General features: G+C 41.8%; 1 protein-coding gene and 1 pseudogene across 8 annotated transcripts in view; one reads left to right on the top strand and one right to left on the bottom strand.

The window, feature by feature from the left end:
- Window positions 1–17,306, top strand: part of MAP6 (microtubule associated protein 6) — an 82,121-nt gene that overhangs the window by 23,944 nt on the left and 40,871 nt on the right. The window contains exons 2-3 of one of the 8 annotated variants that reach the window (XR_949933.4): window positions 6,511–6,586; window positions 11,094–15,963. The exons of 5 other annotated variants lie outside the window; for them this stretch is intronic. Coding sequence is in view for 1 of the 3 variants with exons in the window: in XM_017017756.2 (XP_016873245.1) it covers window positions 6,585–6,586 (2 nt within the window). In the remaining 2 variants the exon portion in view is untranslated. Of the gene's footprint in view, window positions 1–6,510; window positions 6,587–8,901; window positions 10,314–11,093; window positions 15,964–17,306 lie in introns of those variants that run through there. 2 more of the 8 variants (XR_949932.4, XM_017017756.2) reach the window with 2 other exon arrangements.
- On the bottom strand, window positions 2,159–2,529 carry LOC100419542 (ribosomal protein L37 pseudogene; annotated as a pseudogene).

Genomic DNA, 17,306 nt, shown 5'->3' with positions numbered 1-17,306 from the left:
CCTTGAGATGAACTGGATGCTGCAACAGCTGCCCTCTTGGGTTTAGGTGTTGTTCCTGTATGGAATCCATGCCTAGGTCTGTGGCGTACAATTTTTAGGTGTCTCATTCGACCAGTTCCAGAGGTATTTCAGCTTTTAGCTGCCTTTACTGCTCTGATTCAGGGTTTCCTGCATCTGAAGATTCTCTTTCTTTGGAGCTCATCTATGAATATAAAAAAGACTTATTATATTTTACTATATTTTATGTAGCATTTCTATGCATTTTGTGGGGGAGAGGGGAGCTTAACTCAGTCAACCAAATTTTCTTTCTTAGATTTTCTATATAAATCATTGTATTATCTGCAAATGATGACAATATTGTCTCTGCCTTTACAATCTTTCTTCCTCTTATTTCTTCAATTTTGTCTTATATCACTGTCTAGGAATACCAGTACAATATTGCAAAGTTTTTGTCATAGTCTATTGTAGTGGATGAATAAATACTGTGTACTGGTAAACTTTGGTATCAGGCACATCTGGATTGAATCCAGGCTCTGTGACTTAATACCTCTGGTATTAAGAGATAATAAAGATAATAATGGCATTTACCATGAAAAATTATTTTTAGGATTAAGTGAATTACTATATAAACTGCTTGGATTAGTACCTGACACATAACAAAATTAATACCATAAATATTAACTATTAGCAGCAGTAGTTGTGGTAGTAAAAATAATGGTAACAGCTTTGTGTACATTATATCTAGTCGTCACAACTCTGTCAGATAGATAGATTCAGAGAGGTTGAATACCTTACCCAGTATCACACAGCTAATAACTAAAGGCTTAATTTTCCTGAATTGGTACTCTGAAGCCTATGTCTTCCCCTCCCTAGATCATGTGCCCTTTATGGTAGTGATTTATACACTATTGCAAAATCAGGCCCTGGGAAGAGTATTTGCCAAATCCATCAGTAGAAAACTGGAGAAGAGGGGCCCTGGAACCAATGTTTAGCACTCCCGAGCAGATTGGGAGAATTCTGCCCTGTCCCAAGCCTTGAGAAAGACCTCAAAAAATGAAAAATAAGTTTGTAACCATGCACCTCTAAGAATAGAATTGTTTTCTAAGATGTTGAAATGCAAATTGGTATATATAGAATCAGAAACTGCCTAAGAGACGGGCTGCTTTTCAAATCATCCATCTATTCATCCATTCACTCATTGAGGGCTAGAGCTGGACTACCTGGGTTCTAATCCCAGCTCTCCTCCTTAATAACTTGGGGGAGCTCTTTACCTTCTCTGAGCCTCACCTTCCTCATCTGTAAAGTGAGAAGTATCATAACAGCACCTACCTCATAGGGGTGGGGATTAAATGAGTTAATGTGTGTAAAGCACATAGAAAAGTGCCTGGCAACATAACATGTGCTCAGGAAATGCTAGCATTTATTCTTATCACTGTGTTCAATATACAGTCAAGAGCCTTTTCTGAGTTCCATTTCTGGGACTGCCAGGATGGAGTTGTGAGATGTGTGGAAACTGCTGTGGATGTGCAGTAGTGGCTAGTTCTATCAATTGTGAGTGTCAGAAAAGACTTCACAGTTGAAGTGAGGTTTGTCTTCTACATTTACAAAGGTTTTCCTCTTTGCCAAGCACCTTACTAATCTTTGGGGTTGTAAAGCTAGAAAATCCAGGATCCCTGCTGTCAAGGAGCCTTCATTCTGGATGAAGAAACAAATATGTAAATCAAGGATTTATAGTATAGGCTCATAAGCATACAAAACAAGGCAAGATTGGGTTGCTATAAAACACAAAGGAGGGACATCTGCAGTAGTGTGCTGGCAAATGTGAATAACCAGCTCTGCAAGAAAAAAAATTTATATATTTATATATATATATATAAAACACATACATAATAATAAATTTTAGTAACATAGTGGATGTGAACACGCAATTTACAAATAATAATAAAATACACAGTATTCTTTACAGTAAATTCCAAATACCTATTACTACATTATGTCTTTCTATTTCCTGCAAAGTCTACCATCAGTTTTTATATTTCTACTGCCAATAATAGTATCACAAAATAGACTATGAATACAGGCTTGATTACTATTTGATTTAGCAAGGAAGTCACTCACATTATTGACAAACAAGTGTATTCTGACATGAATTTTTTTTAACCAGAACATTTATTGTGCTGACTAATCATTGAAATGCTTGAGATGAACTGGATGCTGCAACAGCTGCCCTCTTGGATTTAGGTGTGTTGTTCCTTTATAGAATCCATGCCTAGGTCTGCGGTGACAATTTTTAGGTGTCTCATTCGACTAGTTGCAGTAGTATTTCAGCTTTTAGCCTTGGCATTCCAGCTATACTTTCTGTTGTGGCTGGTAGGGTAGCAACATTTGCCACAGGTCACCTTCTGAAAGTGGAAGGCCTAAGTGCCACCACAGAAGCACAATGTGTGTCTTATGGCAAGGTTTCCAAACAATGATGAATGGGATGTTCTCTTCATTGTCTTGCTTCTGTGCCAAGACCAGAGAGCCTGGTGTGTATGTTGGCTGATATTTTTGTTTGTATTAAGGAGAAGGTAAGAGAGAAACAATGAAGTTGTATAAAGACATATACCAGAACTAGTTAGTCAATGTTGTGGGTATCTTTGTTCAATCAGATAATAGTTTTGAATCTTGGAAATGTAGTTCCTCAATTTTTTATGCTATTTACAATGTAACAACTACAGATACAACCCATTTTTAAGCCTAATCTGCATTATTAACATTTACTCCATTACTTTCTTAAATCTACTCAGTCAACAGAGTGATAGACTTAGTGCTGATTTGTAACATTTGCTGATTTCCAGGGTGTCAATATGCCCACTATGGCAAATTTCAGTCAGCCAACATGACACTGAAGACCACAGAGTTGGGAAGAGCTGCGCAGAAGCACATCATTGTGTAGCATTTCTACCCTAAGGCTACAGTAGATGGACATCACCTCAAAAGCGTAGCTAATAGTAAATGTGCTAAAAGAATTAGGAAATGATGAGTTTTGAGCTTTTGTTACTTTAATTTTAGTGTAATTTATTTAATTGTATATTTATATAAATTTTGTATAATGGTTGTGCTTAATAACTGGCTCATAAAATTCCAGAAAATTTAGCTGTGGCTCTCTTCAGCCATTGTGAACTGGCTTCAGGACACTACTGACCTCTAAAATAGACTTGCAGACCAGAGGAAGCTTCCTGAAATACTAACATTTGAGTGGGACTCTGGGGGTTGAGTAGAATTCTGCTAGATGAAGTAGAGCGTGGCATCTCAGGCAGAGGAAATGAACAGAACGAGGAAAGATACCTCCCAGGGTTACAGCATTAGCTTCACCTGGAAGCTTAACAGAAATGCAGAATCCCCAAGTCCTGCCCTGGAAATACTGGATCAGACTGCATTTTAGCCAGACCCTCATCAGCATTTTAAAGTCTGAGAATCCCTGAGCCAGAGCAGGCTTTCTCTCAGGTGGTCCAGACCACTTACATTGGAATCACACGAAGTGGTTGTTTACAGTGCAGATCCTGGGCCCCACTCAGGCTCCTGGGTTCTACCCCAGACCTTCTAAATTGGAATTTCTTTTTTTTTTTATTATACTTTAAGTTTTAGGGTACATGTGCACAACATGCAGGTTTGTTACATATGTATACATGTGTCGAGTTGGTGTGCTGCACCCATTAACTCGTCATTTAATATTAGGTATATCTCCTAATGCTATCCCTCCCCCTCCCCCCACCCCACAACAGGCCCTGGTGTGTGATGTTCCCCTTCCTGAGTCCATGTGTTCTCATTGTTCAATTCCCACCTATGAGTGAGAACATGCAGTGTTCAGTTTTTTGTCTTTGCAATAGTTTGCTGAGAATGATGGTTTCCAGCTTCATCCATGTCCCTACAAAGGACATGAACTCATCATTTTTTATGGCTGCATAGTGTTCCATGGTGTATATGTGCCACATTTTCTTAATCCAGTCTATCATTGCTGGACATTTGGGTTGGTTCCAAGTCTTTGCTATTGTGAATAGTGCTGCAATAAACATACGTGTGCATGTGTCTTTATAGCAGCATGTTTTATAATCCTTTGGGTATATACCCAGTAATGGGATGGCTGGGTCAAATGGTATTTCTAGTTCTAGATCCCTGAGGAATCGCCACACTGACTTCCACAATGGTTGAACTAGTTTACAGTCCCACCAACAGTGTAAAAGTGTTCCTATTTCTCCACATCCTCTCCAGCATCTGTTGTTTCCTGACTTTTTAATGATCGCCATTCTAACTGGTGTGAGATGGTATCTCATTGCGGTTTTGATTTGCATTTCTCTGATGGCCAGTGATGATGAGCATTTTTTCATGTGTCTTTTGACTGCATGAATGTCTTCTTTTGAGAAGCGTCTGTTCATATCCTTCGCCCACTTTTTGATGTGGTTGTTTGTTTTTTTCTTGTAAATTTGTTTGAGTTCATTGTAGATTCTGGATATTAGCCCTTTGTCAGATGAGTAGATTGCAAAAATTTTCTCCCATTTAAATTGGAATTTCTAAGGTTGGGCCCAGGAACCTGGAATTTCAATATGCTTCTGAGATTGTTATTATGCATGTCAGCAGTCCACACTAAAAGACTTGGCCCCAAACAGTCATGTTTGAATTGGGTCAGAAAAATGAAACTCCTTAAGCCCTCCTAGTAAACTATTCCCTTCCCTTTGTATGCAAAGCATATAGGTCATTGTCTGGCAGACAGTAGGTGCTGCACCAATGGTAGCAATTGTTCTTGCAGTATTTGTGATATTTGAAACATCATGAGTTCCTTGTCAAGGCCAGAATTAAGCATGATCTAGGGAAAGACGTGTGAGAGAGTGTGTGTGTATGTGTGTGAGTGTGTGTGTGGGGGGGTGGGGGTTGGTTGGGGAGGGGTGTATGCAAGGGACTGGATAACTCAGATTGTCCCTTCAGCCTGTTCCCCACCCCCAGTGCTGACAACCATCTGCTCTAGGAGCCGCCTGTCTGGGAGTGGAGGGTATCCATGGTTACCAGTGTGGAGGTTGCCAAGAGGACTCTGTGGCCGCCAGCCAGAGGGGAGAGTGGAAATTAAGTGGAACTGAAAGTGACAGACTCGTGTGTGTTCAATGGAGTGGGAGGCAGTCAGCTGTGAGAGCCATGGTGGGGCATGGGCACAGCCAAGCTAGCGCTTGGGCACCCAGAGGAAGCCTCTAGACAACAGTGACTGCACAGCTGTGCCCAGGAGGATCACTTTAGACAATCTGAACAGTAATCTCTCTGTGTGTGTGTCTGTCTCTCTCTCCTGCACACAAACCACCTCCCTCCCTTGTTTTCTCCCTCCACTCCTAAGCAGATGCTTTAATTGTAATGTTGGGTCATCTGTCTTTCTATACATATTTTTATAGGGTTGAAATCATGCACTTCCAATTCTGGATTCTTCTTTACAAAAAGTTCCTTTCAGTCGGGTTTAGCTTTGAAAAGAAAGTACAGAATTTAGAGTGAGATGTCTCCTGTGTTTGCACCCCGCATCAGCCTGGTCAAAAATTAGTGCTTGAGGCCAAAATGACAAGTTGGCCCACAATGGATATTCCTAAGTGAATGCTATTGTACATCTCAACCAGCGGCATCCGTTTTACTCATTTCACCAGTTTTCAAGTTGGGGTTTTTTTGTGTTTGTATTCAGCAGCTTTGATAAAGCCTTCTGCATAAAGAAAAAAACACTTCCAACAGGAAGAAAGGGATGTGGGATTGTTTTGCTTAGATATATATTTTTTAACTTTTGTTTTTATAGATTTAGGGGGTACAAGTGTGGCTTGGTTACATGGATATATTAGGTAGTGGTGAAGTCTAGGCTTTTAGTGTACCCATCACCCAAATAGCGTATATTGTAGCCATTAAGTAATTCTTCATCCTTTACCCGCCTCCCACCCTGCCACCCTTCTGAATTTCCAAAGTTGTTATTCCACTCTCTGTGTCCATGTGTACACATTATTTAGCTCCCACTTACAAGTGAGAACATGTGGTATTTGACTTTCTGTTTGAGTTATTTCATTTAAGATAATGGCTTCCAGTTCTATCTGTGTTACTGCAAAAGACATGATTTCATTGTCTTTTGTGGCTGAATAGTATTCCGTAGTGTATATACCATATTTTCTTTATCCGCTCATCTGTTGATGGACACAGATTGATTCTATATCTTTGCTATTGTGAACAGAGCTGTGATAAACAGCAGCAGCTGTCTTTTTTATATCATGGTTTCTTTTCTTTTGGGGTAGATACCCAGTAGTGGGATTGCTGGATTGCGTGATAGTTCTATTTTTAGTTATTTGAGAAATCTCCATACTGTTTTCCATAGAGATTGTACTAATTTACATTTCCAGCAACAATATATAAGTGTTCCCTTTTCTCTGCATCTTTGCCAGCATCTGTTATTTTTTGACTCTTCAGTAAATAACCATTCTGACTGGTGTGTGGTGGTATCTCATTGTTTTGTTTCAGATATTTTTGAAAAGAGCATTCAGATGTAAAATGCTGTATTGACCCTGGAGCGTGACATTAATAGAGTGAGAAACATGTAAGTGGATCGTTTCTCCCCATTTAGTGGTACAACAACCAGAGGCCTCATTATTCCTGTTACTCCAAGAGCACTAGAGGTGACAGCTGGGGAAGTTGGCAGGAGCACCCCAAGGGCAGTGCGGAGTCCTTAGTGACCAACCATGTTTCAGGGGAAAATGGGCATTACCTGCCAGGGAGATCAAGATACCATTTCAAGCAGAATGTTTCTCAGATTCATCCATTGTCTAGATGAGTTCTGTTTCTAATCAATTCATTTAGTTGTATATTATCTTGAGTAGGACACTTCCTGGGAGTGGTAACAGCCACCAGGATTGCTGTAAGCCAGGCCTGAGGGGCCTGTGAGGAGAGCACTGGGCAGATCCAGGCCCAGTCAAGCCACCCTGGTGTTCTTGAATTTTCCCCAAGGCAATGAAACTCTTTATTTACATCATTTAAATGATTACATACTATCCTAGCATGTAGATGTAGCACATCTTATTTAACCATTCCCCTATTATTGGACATTTCACTTGTTTTCAGTTTTTCACCCCTGTTAATTCAAAACATTACAGTGAATGTCATTTTGTCCATCCTTCCTTCTTTCCTTCTTTCCCTCCCTCCTTCCCTCCCTCCCTCCCTCAGTCCTTCCTTCCTTCCTTCCCTCCCTCCTTCCTTCCTTCCCTCCCTCCTTCCTACTTCCCTCCCTCCCTCCCTCCCTCTCTCCCTTTCTTCCTATCTTTCCTTCTTCCTTCCTTAAGAAACAGCTCCATTTCAAGGCAATAATTTTGATCCACTTATAGTTTCTTGACCAGAAGGAGTTTTATAAGTAATCTGTCCTGCCCTCCCATTTTAGAGATGTGACATCTGAGGCTGACAGCAGGGTTTGTGATTTATTCAGTGGCAAATCCACGGTGGGGTTCAGAGTAGAGAATTGGATCCAAGTCTTTTTGGACTCCTGCTCTAGTGCTCTCTTCTCTCTCACCAAGCAGCCTCCAGCTCCACCTTTTCATTTTGCCTGATCACATATTTCACACCCCATCACCCAGAAATACTACAAAATTAGCCCATTCAAGACCCTATAAATAGCTGGGTTTATTTCATTAGATGTGTTTCTGCCCTTTTAAATGTTTATTTATGAGTCAATACTGTTTTCACAGCAAACTAGAAAGCAGGGACTGTATCTTTTTCAACTTAGAGTCAGTAAATGCTTTTCTTGCATGATTGAAAGGAGCCTGTGAATAATTCAACCGCTCCATATATATGGTCTGCCATTAACTTTTACATTTTTGCTTGAGAAAAACATCAGTTTGGCAGCAGCTTGAAAATTGATTTAAAATTCTAACCCCAAAGATGAGCAAAATCACTAATAGAAGGCTTTGCTTAAGCTTCCTGACTCTTTAAATTCACTTAACAAATAGTTTTGGAACATCTTCAGTGAACAAAACACCAAGTTAATCTAATTAATAGCTGTTGAAAAGGGAGAAGGGCTTTGTCCTCAGGTTGCTTCCAGTTTAGTATGGGAAGCTATTTTCAAATGCAAGCTTCATTATTACTCATACACCGTGAGGCCAGCGGATCAGGAGACAACTGCCATTGAAAGAGATATTTCGCTCCCAGAAGGAATATTGTGCCATGCAGGGCCACACAAGGAAGCACCAAGTTGGGTCAGGAGGCAAGAAGGATTGAGGGAGAATATGGATGAAAGGCTTCTTTGTGATTTTTGCAGGAAGTAATGGATAAGCTGGGGCAAGCAGGCTAAGTGGGCTTAGGATTGGCTAATTTGAATAGTTTTGGTGGGCTCTGGGGCACAGGGGCTGTCCACAGTGGTCTGGTACCTGGCCCTGGAGTGATTAGGGCAGGGAAATAGTGGTCCAAGTGTGAGAGCCTGCTAAAGGAGGTGGTTGGGGAATGGTTATTGGGTTGGTTTGCATATAAAAGGTACCCTCATAGACAAGTTGTTTACTATCTCTAAAAATTGGCTAGTCCTGGGGTGTATGTGGGGGCTGAAGAGCGAGGGACAGTTTCCAGAGCATCACTAAGGCCCCAGATGCCAAAACATCAGAGTAAAAAAGATGCCCTTAATACAGAGGCAAAGCAGGTGCTTCATGCTAGCATTGTATAAGATGAAAAGCTGTAACAAAAGAGAAGCACTCTTTGGTTAAGAGGAAGAGATTATTTCAAGTATTCTTGTTCTGGCATAGGCTTAATAGAAGAAATAGCTTTTCAGAAGGGCAGGTGAGGGGAAGGAGCCCAGCTCTCATCACTCATTGGCAAGTTGCCCACTGTAAATTACTTAAACCCTCTGAACCATGTTTATTCTGTTTATATCCCAAGGTTGTTGGGCAGATTCAGTAAATATCTTAGAGTTTCTCTCATGTGCACCATCTGTGGACCTGCATCGGAATCATCTGGAGTGGTCATTTCAAGTGCAGCTTCCTGGGACCCAGAAGCAGACTATGGGGGTGGGGCCCAGGACCCTGCATTCTGACAAACCCCTCACTCCCACCCAAGGTGATTCTTAGGAACACTAAAGTTGGGAACCAGTGTGGAGAAAATAATGCTAGGTGCATTCTAGGATCTAAAGGGTAAAACATTACACTTGGGTAAAGAGGTTTTGTGTACTTATTATAAAACAACTGTAGCCTTTCTCGTGCTTCAGTATCTCATGCCTGGCAGCTCCTTACACGGGCGTAGCATCCTCTGAGCTAGATGTTAAACACACAGACACAATGAAGATACCTCCCCAAAGCCCTGCCTCCTGCAGCTCTGGTCGGCTTGGGCCAGCTGCATGGGGAGGCTAACATTACAGATGTTCTGATATGGCTCACGAAGGAATGAAGCCAAGGAACCGAGTCCTCAGACTGTGAGAAGGCTCGAGTCACAGCTTGGCTGCTGTTGCAGCTGTGTGGTTTCAAACGCCATGTTTATCCCCATGAGTTTCTATTTTTACCTCAAAAATTTAAAAATATGAACTGACAAACTAATTGAAAGTGTTTTAGCAGTTTCAAGTAAACTTGAGTAAAAATTATTGAAAAATTGCTAAGTCTTTTGGCCTTGCCTAATTGGGCTTTTGGCAGCGAGACGCCGCCTGGCCTGGTGCTGATGGAAGGGGCTTAAGGAGACGAACACTTTGTAAGCACCAGATGCCACTCGTTTTCTCTTGGTGTTGATGTGTTTAACCCTCATGGCAGATGTAGGAGGTACATTTTTCCCTTTTCACTTTAATAAAATGAGGCTCAGACACGTTCTGTCCTGTCACAAGCCCAAGATTTCACAGGAAGTGAGGTGTGAACGAGGACTTCAGGCCGGCTCTGTTTACTTTCAGAGGCTCCTTTATATCCCAGGCAGGCTGCCTCCAAGAAGAGCAGAGTCCCCAGGGGAACCCAGAGGCTGCTCCTGCACCTCCTACTAATTGCTTTACAATACCCGGGTGCCAATGCTCCCATTTTATGAGCCTTAAACTTTCGGTTCACCGACTTTCACAGAGATCATTATTATCAAATCTCTGACAGAACAACCAAAATCCTGGCCGCCTATTTTGCTCCACATTTTCCTTCCCACTCCCCTAGTAATTATACAATAATTACAATGTTGGTAATTACCTCATTAGTAATTTGGTGTGAGAAAGCTCAATGAAAGAATAATAAAAGGGCATCTCTTTATAGCTGCCAGATTATAGATGACAAACACAGTTTTAATAGCCCTTAAACACTCATTAATAGAAAAATAAATTTTCCTGCACAATATTTTGAAAAGTGTCAGCATCTCTCTTAACCCGTGCATGGTTTTCTAAAGAGGCCAAGGCTTTCTCATCTGAAGAGCCCGTTTCCAAGCAAGCGAAGGTACTCTGAAAGTTCTAATAAGAGCCATCTCTGTGGGATTTGCTTTTGCCATCCTTTGGCCATGAAAAGCCCTGTGTCTCCCATCTTTGGTGAATTTGTATCATAAAGATTAGACTTGGCTGGGTGCCGTGGCTCACACTTGTAATCTCAGCACTTTGGGAGGCTGAGGTGGGTGGATCACTTGAGGTCAAGACCAGCCTGGCCAACATGGTGAAACCCTGTCTCTACCAAAAATATAAAAATTAGCTGGATGTGGTGGCACATGCCTGCAGTCCCAGCTACTCAGAAGGCTGAGGCAGGAGAATCACTTGAACCCAGGAGGCGAAGGTTGCAGTGAGCCAAGATCACGCCCTGGCACTCCAGCCTGGGTGACAGAGACTTTGTCTCAAAAACAAAAAAGAATAAAAAGATTAGACTCGTGTCTTCTTTGACATTTTTGTCATGCTTCCACTTCCATAAAGTAGAATAAATCTTCTCATTTATGTGCTCTTAACGCTCTTTACATACTTTCTGTGTAAGATTCTTCACTCATTCAGCAAGTTTCAGCAAGTATCTCTACTCAAGAGTCTCTTCTGCCCAGCCTGGGGATGGGGACGCAGCTACTGTCGCCCACCCCGTCATAATCTTTTATCTGGACTATCGAAGGAGTCTCCTAACAGGTCTCTCTGCTTCTTCCTTGCCCAGCTAGTGTCTGTTCTGAATGCAGCAGCTGAAGTAAACATAAACCAAGAGTCAAATCGTGCCACTCGGAGCTACATCAGGTCTGCTCAAATCCTCCAGCCGCTCCCCATCGCACAGAAGATTAAACCAAATCCCTCTCTCTGTTATCCAAGGCCCTCCCCACTCTGCTCGCCCTTCTCTGATCTCTTCTCCTACTCCTCGTTAGCTCCCATTCAGCCTCACTGGCCTCTTCAGCATTCCTCAGACACATCCTCCGGCCTTAGGGTCTTTGCACTCTCCCTGCAGAAGCCCACAAGGCTCACTTCCTCCAGGTCTCTGTTCAACTCTCACTTGATCAGAGAGGCTGTTGTTGACCCTAGGTAAGCACACATACACACACACAGCACATGTGACTCTCTGTCACCTTTATTATTCTTGTTGGAACTTCCCACCACCTGACATACCAGCTTATTGGCTTATGGTCCCTCTCCCTTCATTGGAATGTAAGTCACTGCTCTCCAAGAGGGCAGGGACTTTGTATCCTCTGTCCTCTGTTGTATCCCAATGTCTTCCCACAGCACCTAAGTTAATATATGTTAAACAAATTAATGAGTGAATTTTTTAGCATCTCTCACTAGCATGTCCTCATGAAATACTTACTTGACAGAAAAATCCTAAGTTTGCCCAGAGTATCCGTCAGAGGAGTGAGATTTATTTTCAAGTTATATGAGGATTAGCCTAAAGAACAAAAGGCACATGGACCTTTTGGGAAGATCATTTGCCTTCGTAAGTCCTGTGGGATTGGGATTTATGAGCAAACCCAAGCAATTCAGAGCATATACTTAATGGAATAATTTCTAATGCCCTGTACATGGTGACTCACATGAAATACTTAAGTGAAGATATGTTACAAGCAGTTAGGTTTTGTGGAGACATTGTCTACTGTTGTTTTTAATAACAATATGCTATTAGTACCTTTAAAATACTGTCTCTTCTGATGCCAAAAAAAAAAAAAGAAAAAAGAAAAAAAGAAAAGAAACAACAGCAACAACAACAAAACTGGACCAGGAAATGAGAAGCTGGAATGCTGGTTCCAGCTCTGCCATCAGTTGCTATGTGACTTTAATGGAGTTATTTCCTCTCTCTCCATCTAATTTTTTTCCATCTGTAAAAATTAACATATTGAATTAAATTATCTCTATGATTGTCTGCCAGTTCTAAAATTCTAGGGTTCTATGAATTACTGGCTGGCTGGCTGGATGGATAGATGACTCTAATTTCCACATTACGCAGTCATAACAATAGTGGTTAGTTCTAATCTGTTCTTATCATGCTCTTCCCACAATTCCCTAGTCCAGAGAATACTACCCTTTATCTGAGGTTATGTACATCCCTTACCCTTAGGTCCTTGTATCTATCTTCTTTGAACAGTGAACAGTTAGAAGCCAGTAGATTATAGAATCACGCAAAACAAAAGTGGTGGTAACTGAAGGGTATTTATTCTGTGAGAAAGGAAAGAGGAAGATGGATGTATTAACTTACAACCAAGCATCAGGAAGGCATACAAAGTAGTTCATGCAGTCCACTTCACCATGCCTGTCTGTTTGTGAGAGACCTTATACAGACATTGAATCTTCCCTTTGGTGGATTATAAACTCTGATGGCTGAACATGGAAAGACCCAGAATAACATCTGAAAAAGTGATCTTGGCCCCCTAATTTGCTGTCCCTGGGCAAGTCCCCAGAGTTGGAATGGAACACAGAGGAAGCCTGCCCTGGGCTTGGTCTACTTCTTACTAGCTGGGTGACCTTCGGTAAGGCACCCTCTACCCCCATGTTCCTGGAAATAGAATAGAGCTAATAGGGTTGAAGTGAGGATTAAGCAAGAAGGCTCGGTGAGGTAAAGTAACTTGCCTCTAATGTCACAGAGCTAATCATTTGAATCCCAAAGCCATAGTAGGAAATGAATATGAAAGGAATCAAAAGAGACTCCTATAATTTTACACTCTCCGTTGATTAAATTGATGGATTTAAAGTAAGGAATGTCTGTATGGGGCTCGCAGAGATAATTTCACCATTGCTAGAAATTCACTTACTCACAAACTTGGTGTCCATTCAGCAAAATATACCAGAAATGTGTTCACAGGTGGTATTTGCTGGATGAAATTGGATCATTCCATCTACGTGAAATATTTGTACACCCAGTGCCTATCTCCTGCGACAGCAGAAATTATCACTTTTCATTGATCTCCTTTTAGACCTGACCTTGATATTCCCTCATTTCCTCCTAAATATATCAAAGCACCCGAGGATATAAGTGTGCTCTGCTTCAATTGAATTTCACTGGTCTCATGTTGAGATTTGTGTTCTGAAGCAAGCACTTGATCATCTCATCACCAGCCTTTGAATCTGCTTCCTTTTCTTCCCTTTTCATGTTTGAGTTTCCTTAGCTGAGACAGCCACTTGACAGCCATCCATCACTGTAGCTGTGCAAGTGCATTTGTACCGTCTCCTGCTGGCCCTGTGTTACATGAGCCCATCTGGAGGAGGGGAGTGGGAGAGGGTTGGGCAAAGGGCAAAGGGCAATTAAGAAAAAAAAAGTCTACTGTATTTCATTAAATCTGCACACCACCACAGCAAGGTAGATGACATTATCCCTGTTTACAGATGAGGAAGCTGAGGCTTAGGGAGGGTAGTTCTTGAAGTTACACAACTGATACACAGCATAATTGGGATTCCAAACATAAGCCCTTTCTCATAGTCCATGCTTTGTTATTGCTGAGAATGAGTGGAGACTGTGGGAGAGTGACCAAAAATACCTAGATATGCCTGCAGTCCTATCAACAATTAAGTTTTTACCCAGCTGTAACCCTCTTTAAGGTAATTTGAATTATGCTTCTTAAACCAGTCACATTGGCACCCACAGCATGCCACCTTGAGCCAAGTGGTGTGCCCGGCACTTTATTATAGACACAATTTACTTTATTCATCACCTTTATCCACAAAGTCATGATAACTTTAAAGTGGTGTTTTTCAAAGTATGCTCCTCTGACCAACTGCATTAGAATCACCCAAGGAACTTGTTAAAATACAGATTCCAGGGCTTCACCACAAGGGTAAGAACAGTGGAATTTTCATTATTAACAAATTCTATGATACATTTGGACAATTGTTCTTAAAAGGTAATAAGTCCTTGTTATTAACAAAACACTTGAATCATTACCTTTTAACGAGCCTTTGTAAGTTAAGCATTTTGTATTTAAAATGTAGCTATGGCTTCCTTTAATTAGTAATGAGTTTAGGGAGATACAGATAGGAAGCTGGAACTCAGTTCAGGGCTTAGTTGAATGAATATTACCTGGTACCCAGAGAAATTTGAAGGAATCTATTTTTAGGAGTGACTAGTAGGTCACACCTATAAAATTCAAGATCTGGTATAAATAGTCTGAAATTTGGACTTCAGTCTGGACTTTTGTAGTATTCTATGATATATCAGATAGAAGCCTCTTTTAAAATTTTAAGTTAAATATTCATCATTAAATTATATCAGGTAAGATACAACATTATAGAAACAGATTCATTTCAATGCAGAACCTTTAATGAATATCAACTGTGAACTAGGTGCAATGGTTTACAAAAACAATTAAGCTGGTGATTCCTGCCAAACATGCAAAGAAAAATTAATACCAATTTTCACAAACTCTTCCAAAAAATAGAAAAAGAGAGAACACTTCATAGCTCATTCTATAAGGTCAATATTACCCTGACACCAAAACCAGACAAAGACACAAGAGTTCACCAGTGAAGATGGGAGGAGTTTAAGCCCAGGAGTCCCATGCTGGTTCTCTAACTGGGCTGGGTGGATTTCTGGGAGAGGGTAGAGTCGGAAAGTTCGGAAGACCACGATGAAGACAATGGTGTGAAGGTGGTGGTGATGATAGTTACAGCAGCACATGCACACACACTCGCATCACTCATATGAACACAGATTTGAAATCCAGTAGTGTGTTTTATCAAGCATTCTTCTCTAAGGTAGGTCCTAGCCTTGTCTTTGCTGTAGTTACTTATTGTGGTGGATATTAGAAGACATGAGAATTCAGTGTGTAGCTGATGAACAAGAACCGAGACTTTTGTTCCTCTGTCAACAAGACTTCCTCTCACTGCCTTCTTATTTTCTCTTCTCCTCTTCATTCCCCTCAGCCCACTCCCCTCCCGGCAATGCCCTCACTGTCCTTCAGTAACAGCTCCCTCCAAATACCACCATCCCTGTCAGTATATCTATAGCCCTGTTTACAAACTTGCATTCAGACCTAGATCTAATTATTTGGTTATGACACTGCAGTTTATATTAACCCTTTGACAAACAAGCAAGTGATAGCAGCTGTGGAATAAACTTTTTCCAATCCCTTTGACCTCAAAATAAAAGAATATAAGAATATAAAGTCAGTCTTTTGAGCAAAGTCTTTTGCCCTTTATAGTGAAAGCTTTATTGAATGCATGAGGACAGAATTAATTCAGGGAAAAAAATGTACTTCATATGCAGGATGCCAGAAAAGCTCCCACCCTGAGCACCACTTTTATTGGCACAAGTTGACCTGCAGAAGTCCCAAGCAGAGACACGATAGAAAGACCCAGGCTTGGCAGGGGGTGGTGGCTCATGCCTGTAATCCCAGCACTTTGGGAGGCCGAGTTAGGAGGATCACTTGAGACCAGGAGTTGGAGACCAGCCTGACCAACATGGTGAAACCCCATCTCTACTAAAAATACAAAAATTAGCCAGGCATTGTGGCACATGCATGTAATCCCAGCTACTTCGGAGGCTAAGGCAGGAAAATCACTTGAACTCAGGAGGCGGAATTTGCAGTGAGCCGAGATCGCACCACTGCACTCCAGCCTGAGTAAAGAGCAAGACTTTGTCTCAAAAAATAAAAATAAAAAAATGAAAGACGCAGGCTTTTCGTCTTTGTGAGCCTGAGTCCCAGCACTGCCACTTGCCAGCTCTGTGACTTTGGGCAGATCTCTTTACCTCACAGAGCCTCTGTGTTCCAACATGTAAAATAGGAGTAGTAACTTCTATCTTGCAGGGTTAATTTGAGATTAAATTAGATCAAGCAAATCTATTATTAAAGCTTCTGGCACACAGTAAGTTTTCATTCATTGTAAATGTAACTTTTACGTTCAACAAATGCAGCTCATCAGACATAATTGCAAGGTGATTTTATTTTTGCCTCCCACTATCCCTTTAAATTTATTCTCCAGGTCAAGTTCTTCCCCTCCCCTTTCACAAAATTTTGGATGGGTCTCATAACTTGTACAATATTTAGGGAAGTCTTGTAACTTGGCAAATGTCAGGAAATAAAAGTCCTCCAGTAATTTAAATGTTCAGTCCTATGTAATAGTCAAAGTAGTCAGTCTATTTAAAGTGAATGTTTTTCTCCCTCCTGCCGCTCTGGCCTGCTGCAGAGGAGATGCCTACAGTGGGCTTCTACTGCCCTGTCCTCCCCTCCCCCAGCTCCTCACCTTTCCAGGGTTGGTATTCGGGGAGCAAGGGCGGGGAGGAGGCAAGCTCTCGCTTGGACCCGTGTGGCCATGGTGACTGATGTCCCCCAGCAGGTGTTTAAGCTGGGATCTTTGTCTTGCGGGTGCTTTGCTGGGTTCTTTGGAGGCCCCCACCCATCACTTTGAATCTCATACCACAGTCCCTTGATAAATGTGAATCTCTCTGGCTGCTCCCATACTCCTTCCTCACCCCCAGCATCCTGCAGTCCCTCCAGCTTCTTTCTGGTGGGATCTGTTTGCCACTTCAGCTGGCCCTCTTGACCCCATCTGCTCCAGGAAAACAGCACCGTGCATTCTTTGCTCCAGCAAACAGAGTACAGGCCACCCCCAACACAACCATTTCTCTCTCCCTCTGCTCCAAGACCAGCTAGCCAGCTGTCTCCTGGGCCTTGTCTCTCAGATGAGTCAGCTATGGCTCCAGCACAGCCCCTGAGATCCGGGTGTCCTTGAGCCTCTCTCTTGATTTCAGTCGAAGGGAGAAGTAGCCCCGTCACAGCACACAGAGCTCTTGCCAACGTCCTCTCCCTCCACCATTCTCAGCCTTTCCTTTGAGGATCCTGCATTGTGACCTTGTGCCTGCTTTGGTATTGTCTCAGTGCCTCAGCTGAATGTTCCATTTCAGTTCTGGGACATGGCTCCTAATTGTAGTATTTTTGTTTAATTCTAACATCTCTACTTA

This window comes from Homo sapiens, chromosome 11 (assembly GCF_000001405.40).
Source record: "Homo sapiens chromosome 11, GRCh38.p14 Primary Assembly".
Taxonomy (NCBI): Eukaryota; Metazoa; Chordata; class Mammalia; order Primates; family Hominidae; genus Homo; species Homo sapiens.
The sequence above is the reverse complement of the archived record's forward strand: the minus strand, read 5'-3'. Positions and strand labels throughout refer to the sequence as shown.